Source organism: Homo sapiens, chromosome 10 (assembly GCF_000001405.40).
Source record: "Homo sapiens chromosome 10, GRCh38.p14 Primary Assembly".
NCBI classification, from domain to species: Eukaryota; Metazoa; Chordata; class Mammalia; order Primates; family Hominidae; genus Homo; species Homo sapiens.
In genome coordinates, this window is record NC_000010.11 from 66,906,388 (window position 1) to 66,919,906 (window position 13,519).

Genomic DNA, 13,519 nt, shown 5'->3' on the forward strand with positions numbered 1-13,519 from the left:
ATGCATTCAACAACATCCAAAAGTGGGAAATTCTACAGGACAAATAACCCAGTTTCTTTAACAAATAGAATACAAGTGGAAAATAGAAGAGAAAGTCTATCTTCAAAAGTATCTTCAAAGGTCCACTTCAGAGTGTCTTTTGGTAGTCTGCACCAGTCTTTCAAGTTTAAAGGAATTGTAGACTTATATTAATCTACAATTAATTTTTCGATACAATATGAGGAACTACTTTTGATCCTGTTTCAAAAATTGACAGTGTGTGTGTGTGTTTGTGTTTGTGTGTGCATATTGAATTTGGTGTTGACTGGTATTTGATTCGAAGTCATCAAATTTTTGCTAACTTTTTAAAGTAGAATGATAGCATTATAGCATTTTTTTTTAGTGCGTCTCTTTTAGAGTTACACTGAGATGAATTATATGATGTTTGAGATTTGCTTCAAGATGATCCATGAGGGTGGGGTATAACTGGGAGTATAAGTAAATAAACTCTGGCTTTATGCTAGTAACTGCTGACACTGAGCCTGAGCGACACATACAGGGAAGTCCATTAATTATTCTCTTGACTTTTGTGTATGTTTGGAAATTTACATAACATAATGCTAAACAATAAAAAACATTAAAATATAGAATTAGATACAAAAAAATCCTACTGAGGTTTTGATCAGGCTGCATTGAATTTATACACTGATTAATTTAAGCTATTGATTCTTTCAATTCAAAAATGTATCTCTGTTCATTCTGTCCCTCAATAACATTTCTCTTGTCATTAGCATTGCCACTTTCATTTCTATTTTCTAGGTATAAACTGTGCACATTTCTTAAGCTTACTCAGAGGTAAGTTATAATTTGTGAGATTTTTTTCAATTTCACTAATTTGTAAGTCTTTTTGTGTTTTAGTAACAATAAGCAGTTTGAAAACAAATATGAAGCAATTGCTTTTGTATACTTACTTTGTAATTTTCCTAGTTGTTATACTCTTTTTCTGGTACTAATAACTTTTCACTTGAGCCTCTTAGATATTTCAGGTAGACAATCCATAATCTACAAATAAATACTTCTTTTTCTCCTCTCTTTGAAAAATATGTGCTGACAACTGTATTGAAAGGGTTGATATCCTTTCAGTTGCTTCCTGAAATCCTTATTTTGAGAGGATTTCCATCTTAAAGCAAAGAAAAACTTGTATTATGTTCCTGCCAGACTTCTAGCTCTCAATATCCCATGTTAGGAACTTTCAGATTTATATACCTGATGAGTTTGCGCAATGATTTAAGTTTTCTATTCACTCTACCATCAATTATAGTTCAGAGAACATCATCAATATCAAGTAGTTGGGAATATCTACCCCAACAGATATCAAAACATATGTGCCACTACCACTGGAAGATTAGATAAGTGAAGGCTTCCTTGATTCTTATTTTCAAGCTGATGAAATAAGGTAATTAAATTAAAAGAAACCCAGACTGTCCCTTGTCATAAAGCAAATATGGTGAAGGCTATCATAGGAACTGACCAAAAAAATTAAAGCCAATCTCAAAACATCCATATGAATTTTCTTAACATGAGGGATGTATTTTGTAGAGAAGTTACATTATGATTTCAGAAGACATTATCTTGGCTTCACTACACATAGCACATCTGGGAATTGTCTACTTGAAAGTCTTGGCTAGAAGTTCTATTTGATGGCCTCAAATTAATTCTGATATTGAAAAGTCTAAAGGAAGTTAGTACATGCCACATGCCAGGCTACTTGGCATAACTGAGTAAGACACCTAATTTTCCAGTGGGAAAAGACCAAAAGAGTTGGACCAGGACTTCACATTGATCTTGTTATGAGATGAAAACTTTGCCCTTTAGTATACTGCTTCTCACAGTGACATCAAGTCTTTCACTTCTACCTCAAGCCTCTGGGATGACAATGTGACTCCATGCCAGTTTCTTGTAGCATACAGGCTGCCAGACACAATTATTTCTGACAACAGGCTCACATTTCTTTCAGTCAAGTTAGGGTATTTGTGGACAAGGATCTCATCAAAGCTGTCACCATTGCATTTCACCTGCTTTACCGAATGTTTAGAATGAAAGGCTGGTGCAGACTACCAAAGACACTATGAAGTGGTTTTTCATCGTCCAATATGTTATGGATGTTCTCTAAGAAGTCCTGGTCATGCTGAATACTACTTAGGTTAAGTTTCCTAACTTGTGTCAACCATCTCTATCGAGCATAAACTGAGAACTTATAAAATGAATAAGAGTATTCTAGCTGCTGCTATGGCTAGATTAATCATTGTTTTTTTTTAAAAAAATTCATTTTTATTATAGTAGTTTTGCTTTGCTGGCACTTAATTCAGGTTTTTCCCCTGTAAGTTGAGTCTGGATAGTGCCATTTTTATGGAGTCACAAAGCACCCTGTGCTTTTTTCATGCTAGCACTCCCTACACACATTGTAACAAGTGTTTATGATATGCCAGATTAGATTGTAAACGCCACAAGTGTGGAAATGTATCTTTTCTCTTAATTCTTCAGCACCTAGAATGGGAAGTAGCACATGGTAGACATATGAGGACCAGATTACAAACAGTCATTTAAATGAGGCTTCTTCAAGCTGGATTTTAAAGCCAGCCTTCTTGACACGGTATTGTTGGCAAGTTTTTATTTATTTATTTAGGCTACAGGTATTTCCAGTAAGGTCCTCATTGAAAGCCCACTTAAGCTAGGAGCCACTTGCGATAATACTAGAGGTAAGAAACAGGAAGAGTAAACAGCTCCAAATAAGGAATTGTCCCCAAATTGCCCCTGTACATGTTGACAAACACCCCAAATCAGGAGTAAATACAAGATCACTACCAGCCGGGCGCGGTGGCTCATTCCTGTATTCCCTGCAATTTAGGAGGCCAAGGCAGATGGATCACCTGAGGCTGGGAGTTCGAGACCAGCCAACACAGAGAAACCCCATCTCTACTAAAAATACAAAAATTAGCAGGGCATGGTGGCACATGCCTGTAATCCCATCTACTCAGGAGGTTGATGCAGGAGAATTGCTTGAACCCAGAGGTGGAGGTTGTGGTGAGCCAAGATTGCACCATTACACTCCAGCCTGGGCAACAAGACCAAAACTCCATCTCAAAATAAATAAATAAATAAATAAATAAATAAATCACTACCTTCGGACACAAATGAAATTTCCTTCAGAACAGGAAATTTCCTCCAACCAATTACTCAGATTGGAAGCAAATAAGAGAGCAATAAAAATCCATCTGCAACACTTGTTAGTCAAATAGAGACCAAATGGTGAAAAATACACCAGTACTCTGGTTAATTGGCCCAAATTTTGAGTGAGTTTCATGCTTAGTACATACTTTCCGCTTGCACTTATCACATCTTGGGTAACAGATTTGTGAATCAACTACAGGTATTCCCAGAGAACCATAATTATGATAATGATATAGCCATTAGGAGTAGCTACTTCTGCATCATCTTAATGTTTTCTTTTCAACACACATATATTGAGTATCCATTATCTGTTAAAAGTAGAATTCAGAGATGAATGAAACACCACAATCCCTGAATTTAAAGAATATTCTATGGGGAAAAGGGCAAATAAACAATTTAATACTATGCATTTATATGGCATATATAAATGGTTTATAAAAGTGCTTATGAGGAAGTCACCAAAATCCCTAGAAAATGTTTATGAAGATTATAATGTTTTAGATACATCTTATAGAAGATTTCACCAGATAAAAACTAAAGGAAGACTATTCCAATAAGAGAGAGTAGCATAAACAGTGATTTAAAGTCAGCTAGAAAATGGCTTGTTCGGGGAATAATAAATAATAAATACTTACAGTGTGGCTGTATTGCAGGTATGCATAGCATCTTGGTTAGTAAGTGCAAGTAATGACAAAAGGGTAGATTTAAGCCAGATGGTAAATAATCTTTGTATCAAGTTGAATTCTTTGTCCTTCATGGCCTCGCTTAAAGCATCTGCCAAGTCTTATACAATATGACTCTACCAACTTTATCACTACCCTTAACCATCACTTCTGCTGGAAACTTAGGGTGATCACCTTTTCCTAGAATAGCCAACTCATAAGCCAGATAGCAACCTATAAGATGGCATGGAAAAAAAATCAGAATTTTATTCTCTAGAATTTTAAACAGAAAACTATCAAAAGAATGAACTGATTTTCAGTACAACTAAGACAGTCACAAGGTAGCATGTAGGCATTGAAGATAACATGTAAAGCCAACTCCATGGCGAGCAAAAACCATGAATAAGCTAGAGCTGTGAGGCAGAACAGAGGTGAACACAAGACAGGTGACGTGGAGAAAAGCAAAGTGGCAGAGCACTGAAATGAAGCTATGGATGCCTCTCCAGTTTGGTTTCCGCTCTTCTTGAAAACCAATTGTTTGCCTTTAACAAAAATATAAACAAAATGACAACCTTGTGCGTCATGACAATGAGTCGCTATTTAACCAGAGGTCACAGTGAGCTATTCATGGGATTTAAAGAAGACAGCAACGTAAGCAATTTTAGATAGTATATTGGGAAAGTAGTAAGACCATTCTGAAGTTGCCCTTTGAGCCATTCCACTGAGGCCTAACCAAATTTCAAACAAGAAGGAAGCAATAATTCTTTTGTTTACCTTGTTACTTGAAGGGGAATAACTTTCTACTTAAAATATTATGCTAGCCATGTGGAAGATAGATTATGTGTGCTAGAATATTAGTAATTTCTTTCCTTTTCAGAGCCAATTATGCACGTTTCAGTTACTTAAGGGAAAGTCTGTATAATTCAACATTAATAAAGACCGTTCTATACATTTCCAACAGTAGGAGGAACTTAAAAGAATTGTTTTGCCCATGGCAAAGAATGCCATGCATTAAATTCAAGTTAATAAAAAATTTGTATAGTTCCCAATATTAGTAAGGATTACTTTTGGATGGCGAGATCATGGTTCATGTTTTATAATAAATATATATCACTATTATAATGCAAAGAAAACAAACTTAGAGAATAATTGAAGACTTGTTTGTTTCCTTTCTATTTAACAAAACAGATTTTAAGTCCTAGTGGTCTAGTTAAATCTATATGAGGTTAGGAAAAAAGTTATATAAAGTGTCAACTACTGTTTTTCACATTGTACAAAAACATTGATTTGACTTCAAAGAAGACAGAATGATTATAAGAAATAGACTAATCTCAAAGGATCTAGGCTCTACTCAAAGTCTTGTATCTGTGTCGTATATTAATTGAACCAGTTACTTCATCTCTCTGGTCTACATTTTTAAATCTGTAAAATGTGAATTGGACAAAATAATCTCAAAATCCCAATTACGTGAGTCTCTTAAGCCTTTATGTCACTACTACTTGGTATTACTACAATATTTTCCAAGTTTAACTTGCAAAGCTTGTAAGCCACTTGAAATTATGTAAAACCTCTCAAGTCGTTTAGAACTACCCACAGAAAATATATAAAGCCTAAGAATCAGGACTAATGGCCTGAACATATAATGACATGTTTAACTGTTTTGGTTTCTCTAGGCAGAAGCCTAGAGTATTTCAAAAGGAAAACACAATGATTGAAAATTGAATACACTAAATCAAAAATATTTTCATGACTTTAACTAAATAGAAAAAGTCTGGCCTCAAATATAGCCAATGAAGAGAAGAAATTTTACATTACTATTACCAGATTTTGCATACAGGCCCATACTGCATCATCAGAAGATTACAGATTTGGATTATACATAAGTGGTTGCCTATTTGAAGTTTAAATTTACTTGTAAACCTCTACTTCCTAGAGTTGTAAACACACACTCACCCTCACACACCACACCACCACCAGAACCATACACATATGTATCAAATTCAGGTTTTCTAGTTTTTTACTATAAAATAACAAATACAAATTTGAAAATAGCAAAGTATTCCAAAGCATAAATGATAATAATTAAAAACAAAATCTTGATACAAAAAAGTAGGAAAATGAATACAGATACCAATAGGGTATAGTTTGTTTCTTTTAAAAGTTTACATAAAATTCTATTCTATTTCATTAAAAATTAAAAGTTCTTTTTTTTAGAAGAAACATTGGGCTCAGGAAAATTAAACACCTGTAAGATATTGAAAACATTTAAGTTTGCAAAGTTATAATAAATACAAAGTATAAGATGCCAAAGCAAATTTAGTGTGCATGAACACAACACCAGGAAGAGTCATCCTATTTCCACCAAATACATTCCCTCAATATCTATAGTAAGATATAACCCCCAAGAACGGTAGTAAAAAATATTTTTTCCTAGCATTTTTGGAGGCTGCTGGGCTTGCTGATATTAGCAGGTTGGTCTAGGCTAAAAGGAGGATGTGGGAGAAACCTCATCAAAGTGATGATTCAAAATTCATAAATAAATGAACACACGGGGGAACATTTTAATCACTCCCACAGTAGAGTAAATGAAATAATGGCAGACACCCTTAACGAACTATACAGCCAAGGAAGCCACAAGTAAATACAATATATCCAAGCTTCTTCCAATTTAAAAGTTGTATTAAGAAATGCGTACATAGGCCGGGCGCGGTGGCTCATGCCTGTAATCCCAGCACTTTGGGAGGCCGAGGCGGGCGGATCACGAGGTCAGGAGATCGAGACCATCTTGGTTAACACGGTGAAACCCCGTCTCTACTAAAAATACAAAAAATTAGCCGGGCGCTGTGGCAGGCGCCTGTAGTCCCAGCTACTCGGGAGGCTGAGGCAGGAGAATGGCGTGAACCCGGGAGGCGGAGCTTGCAGTGAGCCGAGATCGCGCCACTGCAGTCCGGCCTGGGCGAAAGAGCGAGACTCCGTCTCAAAAAAAAAAAAAAAAAAAAAAAAAAAGAAAAAGAAAAAAGAAATGAGTACATAGTAAGAGACCTTAAAATGACACTAGTGCAAAATACATTGGAGGATATGGATAACAAAGGAGGACAGCATCTCACTTTTACAAAGATCTTCAGCTCCCATTTTCAACCTTGGGCTACAGTCTTAATTCATACGGCATCCTTCCAGTATCATCTGCCATGCCTGAAATCTGTCATGAGAAATCCATATCTGAAACACGGCAGATTGATCGCATGCTTTTATTGTCTCTTTCACGTCAAAACTCAAGCAATGACAAATGAATACAAATGAGGATAGAGAAAAGAGGAATGAATGAACAATTTCTACAAATTTTTGGAGAACAGAATACATGGTAGAGTCAAGGCAGCTACAGTCTAAGTGCTTACTGAAGGGGGACCTTATGTCGCGCCATAAAAGTCATGAGAAGCACCAGAAGTAGGGGTCACAAAAAAGATGGGGACTGATCTTCATAGAGCGAGATCAACTGCCAGATTTCGGTCTTTACCCCAAGCAATCAAAAGACTACCCCATCCCTCTAACAGAAAAGAGTTTATTTTCTGGCAAATTCAAACCTGAAAAGCTACACTGAAGTATACTAGGCATAGCAGTGAGACTTGGGACTGACAACCTAAGACTAAAATGAGAATGTACATGTTGAACTTGGGGCACCCAGCACCCTTTCCCTGCCTTGCCCCCAGAACACTGGTAGCAGGTGTACATCTTCCATGTAGGAGCGGTTGGCAGTCTTCTCTGGGTGTGTGGGGAGTGGAGTCTAAATACATGTACCTGAAGCAAGCTCTCTGTCTAATCTTGCTAACACAAAATCCACCACCAAAACCTTGCCCACTGGCAGGGTGCCTTCTTTTTTTTTTTTTTTTTTGAGACAGAGTCTCACTCTGTCCCCCAGGCTGGAGTGCAGTGGCACGATCTCGGCTCACTGCAAACTCTGCCTCCCAGGTTGACGCCATTCTCCTGCCTCAGCCTCCCCAGTAGCTGGGACTACAGGCACCTGCTACCACGGCCGGAGAATTTTTTGTATTTTTAGTAGAGACAGGGTTTCACCATGTTACCCAGGATGGTCTCGATCTCCTGACCTCATGATCTGCCCTCCGGCAGGGTACTTTCTATCAGTTTTTAGTGATTCACTCATTAATATGAATGAACACAGAAGAATCTTAACCGTAGAGAAACGCCTCCAACATGAAATGGGCCAACACGAACTGGCTAAATTACCTCAGAAGAAGTAGTGGCACCGCAGCAAGCAGTATACCACCAAAAAAAAAAAAAAAACTGCAAATAATATCCTCACAGTGAGAAAAAATGGCACATCCATGAGAGTAACAGTATGCTATGAAGAAGGGGCAAAAAGATAACTTAAAAAGAGCTCATGGAGCTAACCAATATGATCACCTAAATTAGGATGGGAGTTGGGGGATCAGCAAACTGTTTCTGTAAAAGGCCACGTAGTAAATATTCTAAGTTGCAGGATTTGCCATCTCTCAACTCTGCCATTGTAGCTTGAAGACAACCATAGACAATGCATAAAAGAATGCACATGAATGTTTCTTTATTTACAAAAACTTAATTTTATTTATATTGCTTGACCCAGTGGTATCATTGCTGGATTTGATTGTGCCATAATCTTCTGACATCTGGCCAAAATTTGTAATAAATAAATAAAAGATTGGATCATAAAGCATAGACATTACTCTGTAGGATGGAAAGAGATAAAGAGATGGAAAATAGGAAAGAAAAACCAAAGGATCAATCCAGGAAATCCAAAATTTGTCCAATAGAAGTTTCAGAGAAAGAGAACAAAGAAAAATGTGGAGAGATCATTTTTTGAAACATACAATACATTTGTATAGAACTGAAGGACACGTCTCCATATTTAAAAAGCTCACTGACTGCCCAAAAACTAACGAAAAAAAAAAAAAAGCACGAACCAAAGTATATCTGTAAACAATTTCCGAATACCAGGAGGGAAGAAAGTATCATACAGAGGAAAAAAATAGATCATACACAAAGAAATAAGAATCAGAATATTGTCTGATTCTCTACAGTGACAGTGGTATGGGAAGACAGTAATTCAATGTCTCAAAGATTCTGAGGGAAAATTATTTACCACCCAGAATTATATTACAGCAATCTATCAATCAGTAATACTGGACTAAAAAACTTAGACATGAAATTTTTATTTCACATGCACCCTTTCCTAAAAATCTATTAGTGGAAGGTGCTTCAACAAAATGAGTGGTAAACTAAGAAAATAAATACATGGAATCCAGGAAATAGGGATCCTGTTCTGGAAAATGGTGAAGTACTAGGTACATAGCTAGAATTGGATATTGGAGCCAAGAAATGGAGTGCTGCAGGCAAATAGGATTATCTGAAATGCCTGAGTGTTTGGAAAGCTTCGGCATTTGACATATATATATATATAATATATATATATACACACACACACATATATACATATATACATTTTTTTTTTTTTTTTAGATGGAGCCTCGCTCTGTAGCCAGGCTGGAGTGCCGTGGTGCAATCTTAGCTCACTGCAACCTCTGCCTCCCGAGTTCAAGCGATTCTCCTGCCTCAGCATCCTGAGTAGCTGGGACTACAGGCGCCTGCCACCACGCCCAGATAATTGTTGTATTTTTAGTAGAGATGGGATTTCACCATGTTGGCCAGGATGGTCTCAATCTCTTGACCTGGTGATCTGCTCACCTTGGCCTCCCAAAGTGGGCTGGGATTACAGGTTTGAACTACTGTGCCCAGTCCTTGACATATATTTTTAAATGTTGGGACAAACAACAAGCCCTAGATACAGACAAAAAAGCAAATGTAAAAGAGGTAGAGAGAGAAAGAAAATAGGAACAATCCTTAAACTGCAAGAAAAGCAAAACGCTGAATGAGAATGGCAACACAGTCTAGTACACCACTTAATTCATCAGTGTCTTTGTTTACACAGTGATTGTGAGTCATATCGCCTATTTATTTAATACTGTAATAATAACATATTAACATGGGAAGCAGGGAGAGTAAATGATACTGAATCCTCAGTTAAAATAGCAAGAAATTAAAATATCAACAAAATTCAAAAATATTATAAGAATTAAACAGTAGCTAAAATAAAATGATTGCACCTAAAAAGAGTAATTGGTAAGAAATTGAGAGGGAAGAGCAAGGATGAATGTTTTTAATACAGGCCTTTTCTCCTATTTGCTTTTTAAGCTACAGTATGTGCATAAAATGCAGTTCTCTGTGCTTCCTTAATACTTTCCATTTCTCAGACTCACCTATTAAATTTCAAGAATCCTGAGAAAGCTAATACTATAAGCCATTATCAGCTAATACCATAGGATTCATTTGTTGATAAGTGGAAAAATGTCCAAAAAGAACTGGGTCACCACAGGCACCTGGAGACAAAGTGGAAATGAAAGAAAATCAGTAAGGAAGAGGTAAGGAGGTGCTGGGGGGAAATTGAATTGCAGGACACTCAGTTGATGTCCAGAGAGTTGGAGAATTGGTTGGTATGGAAAAACTCCACACCCTGGTGTCAGAAGTGTGGAGTATATAAAAAAACAATTTTCTTTTCCTTTTTAATGGTGGCCAATGAAAACCCAAAAGGAGATTACATCTAAGGTGACAGGATTATGTGAGTTGCTCCCTACTTGCTCTCCAACGTCAACAACTCAGAAAGGGATTTTTCTGGCCACAGTATCAAATGGTCATTGCCCTCATCCTTGTTAGTCTTCTTCACAGCACTTATTACTAGTTGACATTGCAGTGTGTAGCTATTTTTATTTTTTACCATCTCATCAACAAGAATGCAAGAAGTCCTCCAGTGGAAGGCACTTTGTCTTATTCACTACTGTATCCCCAGCACGAAGAACAGTGTAAGAGTTTAATAAATACTCATTGAATAAACAAGTTAATTTTATTTTTATTAAGGATCTGTGGCATTTGCTACCCGGGACTAAGTAAATTTTTGCTCGAGTTACAATATTGGCACATGGGGGCTCTGCTGTTAGTTGCAAGAGTATCCTAAGCATTCCCCAACATTCTTAAGGGAACTGTTCAACTGGGAATGGCCACAGCTACAGCTACCAAGTACTAACAGTATAAGGAAGGATCCTCTGGTTTGACATATAGGCTGATATATTTTAGAGTAATATAAGGACCCACAGACTCCTGTTCTCTGCTACTTCATTGCAAACTATGCAGGGATTCTCATTTGTCAGAAGTTTAATATCTTTCAGATCTGGGCCCTAAAATAAAAACGTTTTTAAATCAGACATTGTTTCAGAAACAAAAATAAAACCAACCTATGGCATAGCTGTTTCTTTATCAAAATCAAGATTGTCTATTATCTTTCTCCTCCTGGTGACTGGGGAATTTAATTCCTAATGCTGATATAATTGCCAGGAAGTCGAATTTTAAAACACACCAGTGTATCCAGTTGAAACTATTATATACAGTGCTTTAAAAATACAATATGAAATTTTCTTCAAAAACTCTTGTCACATCAGAATACATGTGAAGTGGATATAGCAAAATGTTATGATACCATTTAAAGAACACTGACTGACTTTACATTCAAAGCACAGTCATAGATGCAAAGTAAAACATCAAATATTAAGGTATAAATTTGGTTAAGAGGTTTTTATAGTCCCTCTAAAAGTCTTTTCTCCACTGTGAGAAAATACAGGAAATTTAGGAATATATATAAAACTAGACGTTTTACAATGTGACTCTGGTGCCACATGTTTCTTGATGGAATTTGTTCTGAAAGAAAAGCTAGAAAACTGATTTCTCTCAGCTTAAGTGACTACAAATGAATTTTGATTGCTATCCTATTAATAAGAATTTTTTGTGCCTCAGTTAGATGAACACTTCAATGGCAATACAAAAATTAGCAGATTTATTTAGCAAGTACCAACAACAAATAATTGCTGTTGCTAAGGGTAAAAAGGCAATTGTGATGGGATGTGAAGAACAGAAATCCTGGTGATATGAATGTTAACCAATAAAGTTCTCAAACTTGCCATTTAGCGCATTCCTGAATTCTCTGATGGCATAAATACCACAAAGTAGAAGTACAACTTTACTCTAAGCTCTAAGTCCTGTATTACTCAAAAGTTCTTCAAATCTTAAACTGCTACCAAGAATGAATAGATGCCCCAAATATCCACTTTGGGGCTGGATATTCTGCTCAAATTAATGAATAGACTCTTGTTAAACATATATGCCATGAAAACTGACTATGTGCAAGTTAAAGCCTACAATGGGAAAACCACCAAATGCAGAACATGGAAAAAGCTAAAGTCCAAATGACGTGGCATCCAACACATCAATGGCATTACAAAATGAAAGAGACTTCAAATACATCAAAAACAAATGCAATGTGTGGGCTTTTTCTAAGATCTTGATACGAACAAACCTACTTGAAGAACTTGTTAATTTTATTAGGTATAATAATGCTAGATGGTTAAATTAAAAGGCTGTTAGGAATGCATCCTGAAATGTGCATGTGTGTAGATAGATAAATAGAGAGAGAGAGAGAGGTTATAAAGACATATGTTGGCTGGGTGCGGTGGCTCATGCCTGTAATCCCAGCACTTTGGGAGGCTGAGGCGGGCAGATCACAAGGTCAGGAGATTGAGACCATCCTGGCTAACACGGTGAAACCCTGTCTCTACTAAAAATACAAAAAATTAGCCGGGCGTGGTGGCAGGCACCTGTAGTCCCAGCTACCTGGGAGGCTGAGGCCCAAGAATCACTTCAACCCGGGAGGCAGAGGTTGCTGTGAGCCGGGATCGTGCCACTGAACTCCAGCCTGGGTGACAGAGCGAGACTCTGTCTTAAAAAAAAAAAAAAAAAAAAAGACATATGTTGAAGATTTGCTTTTAAAATACTCCAGAAAGAAAAAAATATTGCACTTATGTGGGAAGAGGTGTGAGTATCGACGAAATAAAATTAGCAAAATAGTAATAATTTTTGGAGTTGATATTTATTATACTAGCCTCTCAACTTTTGCGTATGCTTTACCTTTCCTACTGAAAGGAAGAAAAAAAAGTATTTCCTTGAAGTCATATAGTCTTTTCAGCCTTCATAAGTCTGCCACTGAAGTTTATAGTGTTGGCTAGATTTCTGTATTCCCATATTTACCTTAGGACTACCTTTGCAGGAAGTGACAGTGAGGAATGCAATAAAACCTGAGAATATGGATTGACGCTGCTGCATAAATGTATCTTCAGGTGAATGGGAGGGAGACATGTTGGATAACCTTGCAATGTCTCATTCATTAAATTTGTCTTTTCCCAGAAAGACACTGAGAGACCATTTTAATGGTCAGACCTGGAATATTCTTTATTCATTTATCTAAGTCAGAGATATTCACTCATAACCATATGTGACCAGACAGGGTTTTTAATGGAGCCCTTAAAGCAAGCAGATGGAAATCAAGGATATTTCAGGGAAGTGTTAATGCTCTGATGAAGATCTGGATATAATTACAAATGTAGACATGCATATGAGTATTCTAACTAGAAATGAAGAAAATTATTTTCACAGCTGTAGGAAACTCTATATTGGCATTCTGACAACCCTGATATATTGTTGGGTCACAAACATTA

At 36.7% G+C, this 13,519-nt stretch overlaps 1 protein-coding gene and 1 long non-coding RNA gene across 8 annotated transcripts in view; both read right to left on the bottom strand.

Moving 5' to 3' along the window:
• CTNNA3 (catenin alpha 3) overlaps positions 1-13,519 on the bottom strand; it is a 1,851,072-nt gene that overhangs the window by 993,865 nt on the left and 843,688 nt on the right. The window lies entirely within an intron of this gene.
• LOC101928961 (uncharacterized) overlaps positions 1-13,519 on the bottom strand; it is a 118,044-nt gene that overhangs the window by 12,278 nt on the left and 92,247 nt on the right. The window contains exons 4-5 of the long non-coding RNA NR_111911.1: positions 3,846-4,106; positions 951-1,159 (exon numbers count right to left, since the gene is read on the bottom strand). This is a non-coding gene — a long non-coding RNA (uncharacterized LOC101928961). The remainder of the gene's footprint in view (positions 1-950; positions 1,160-3,845; positions 4,107-13,519) is intronic.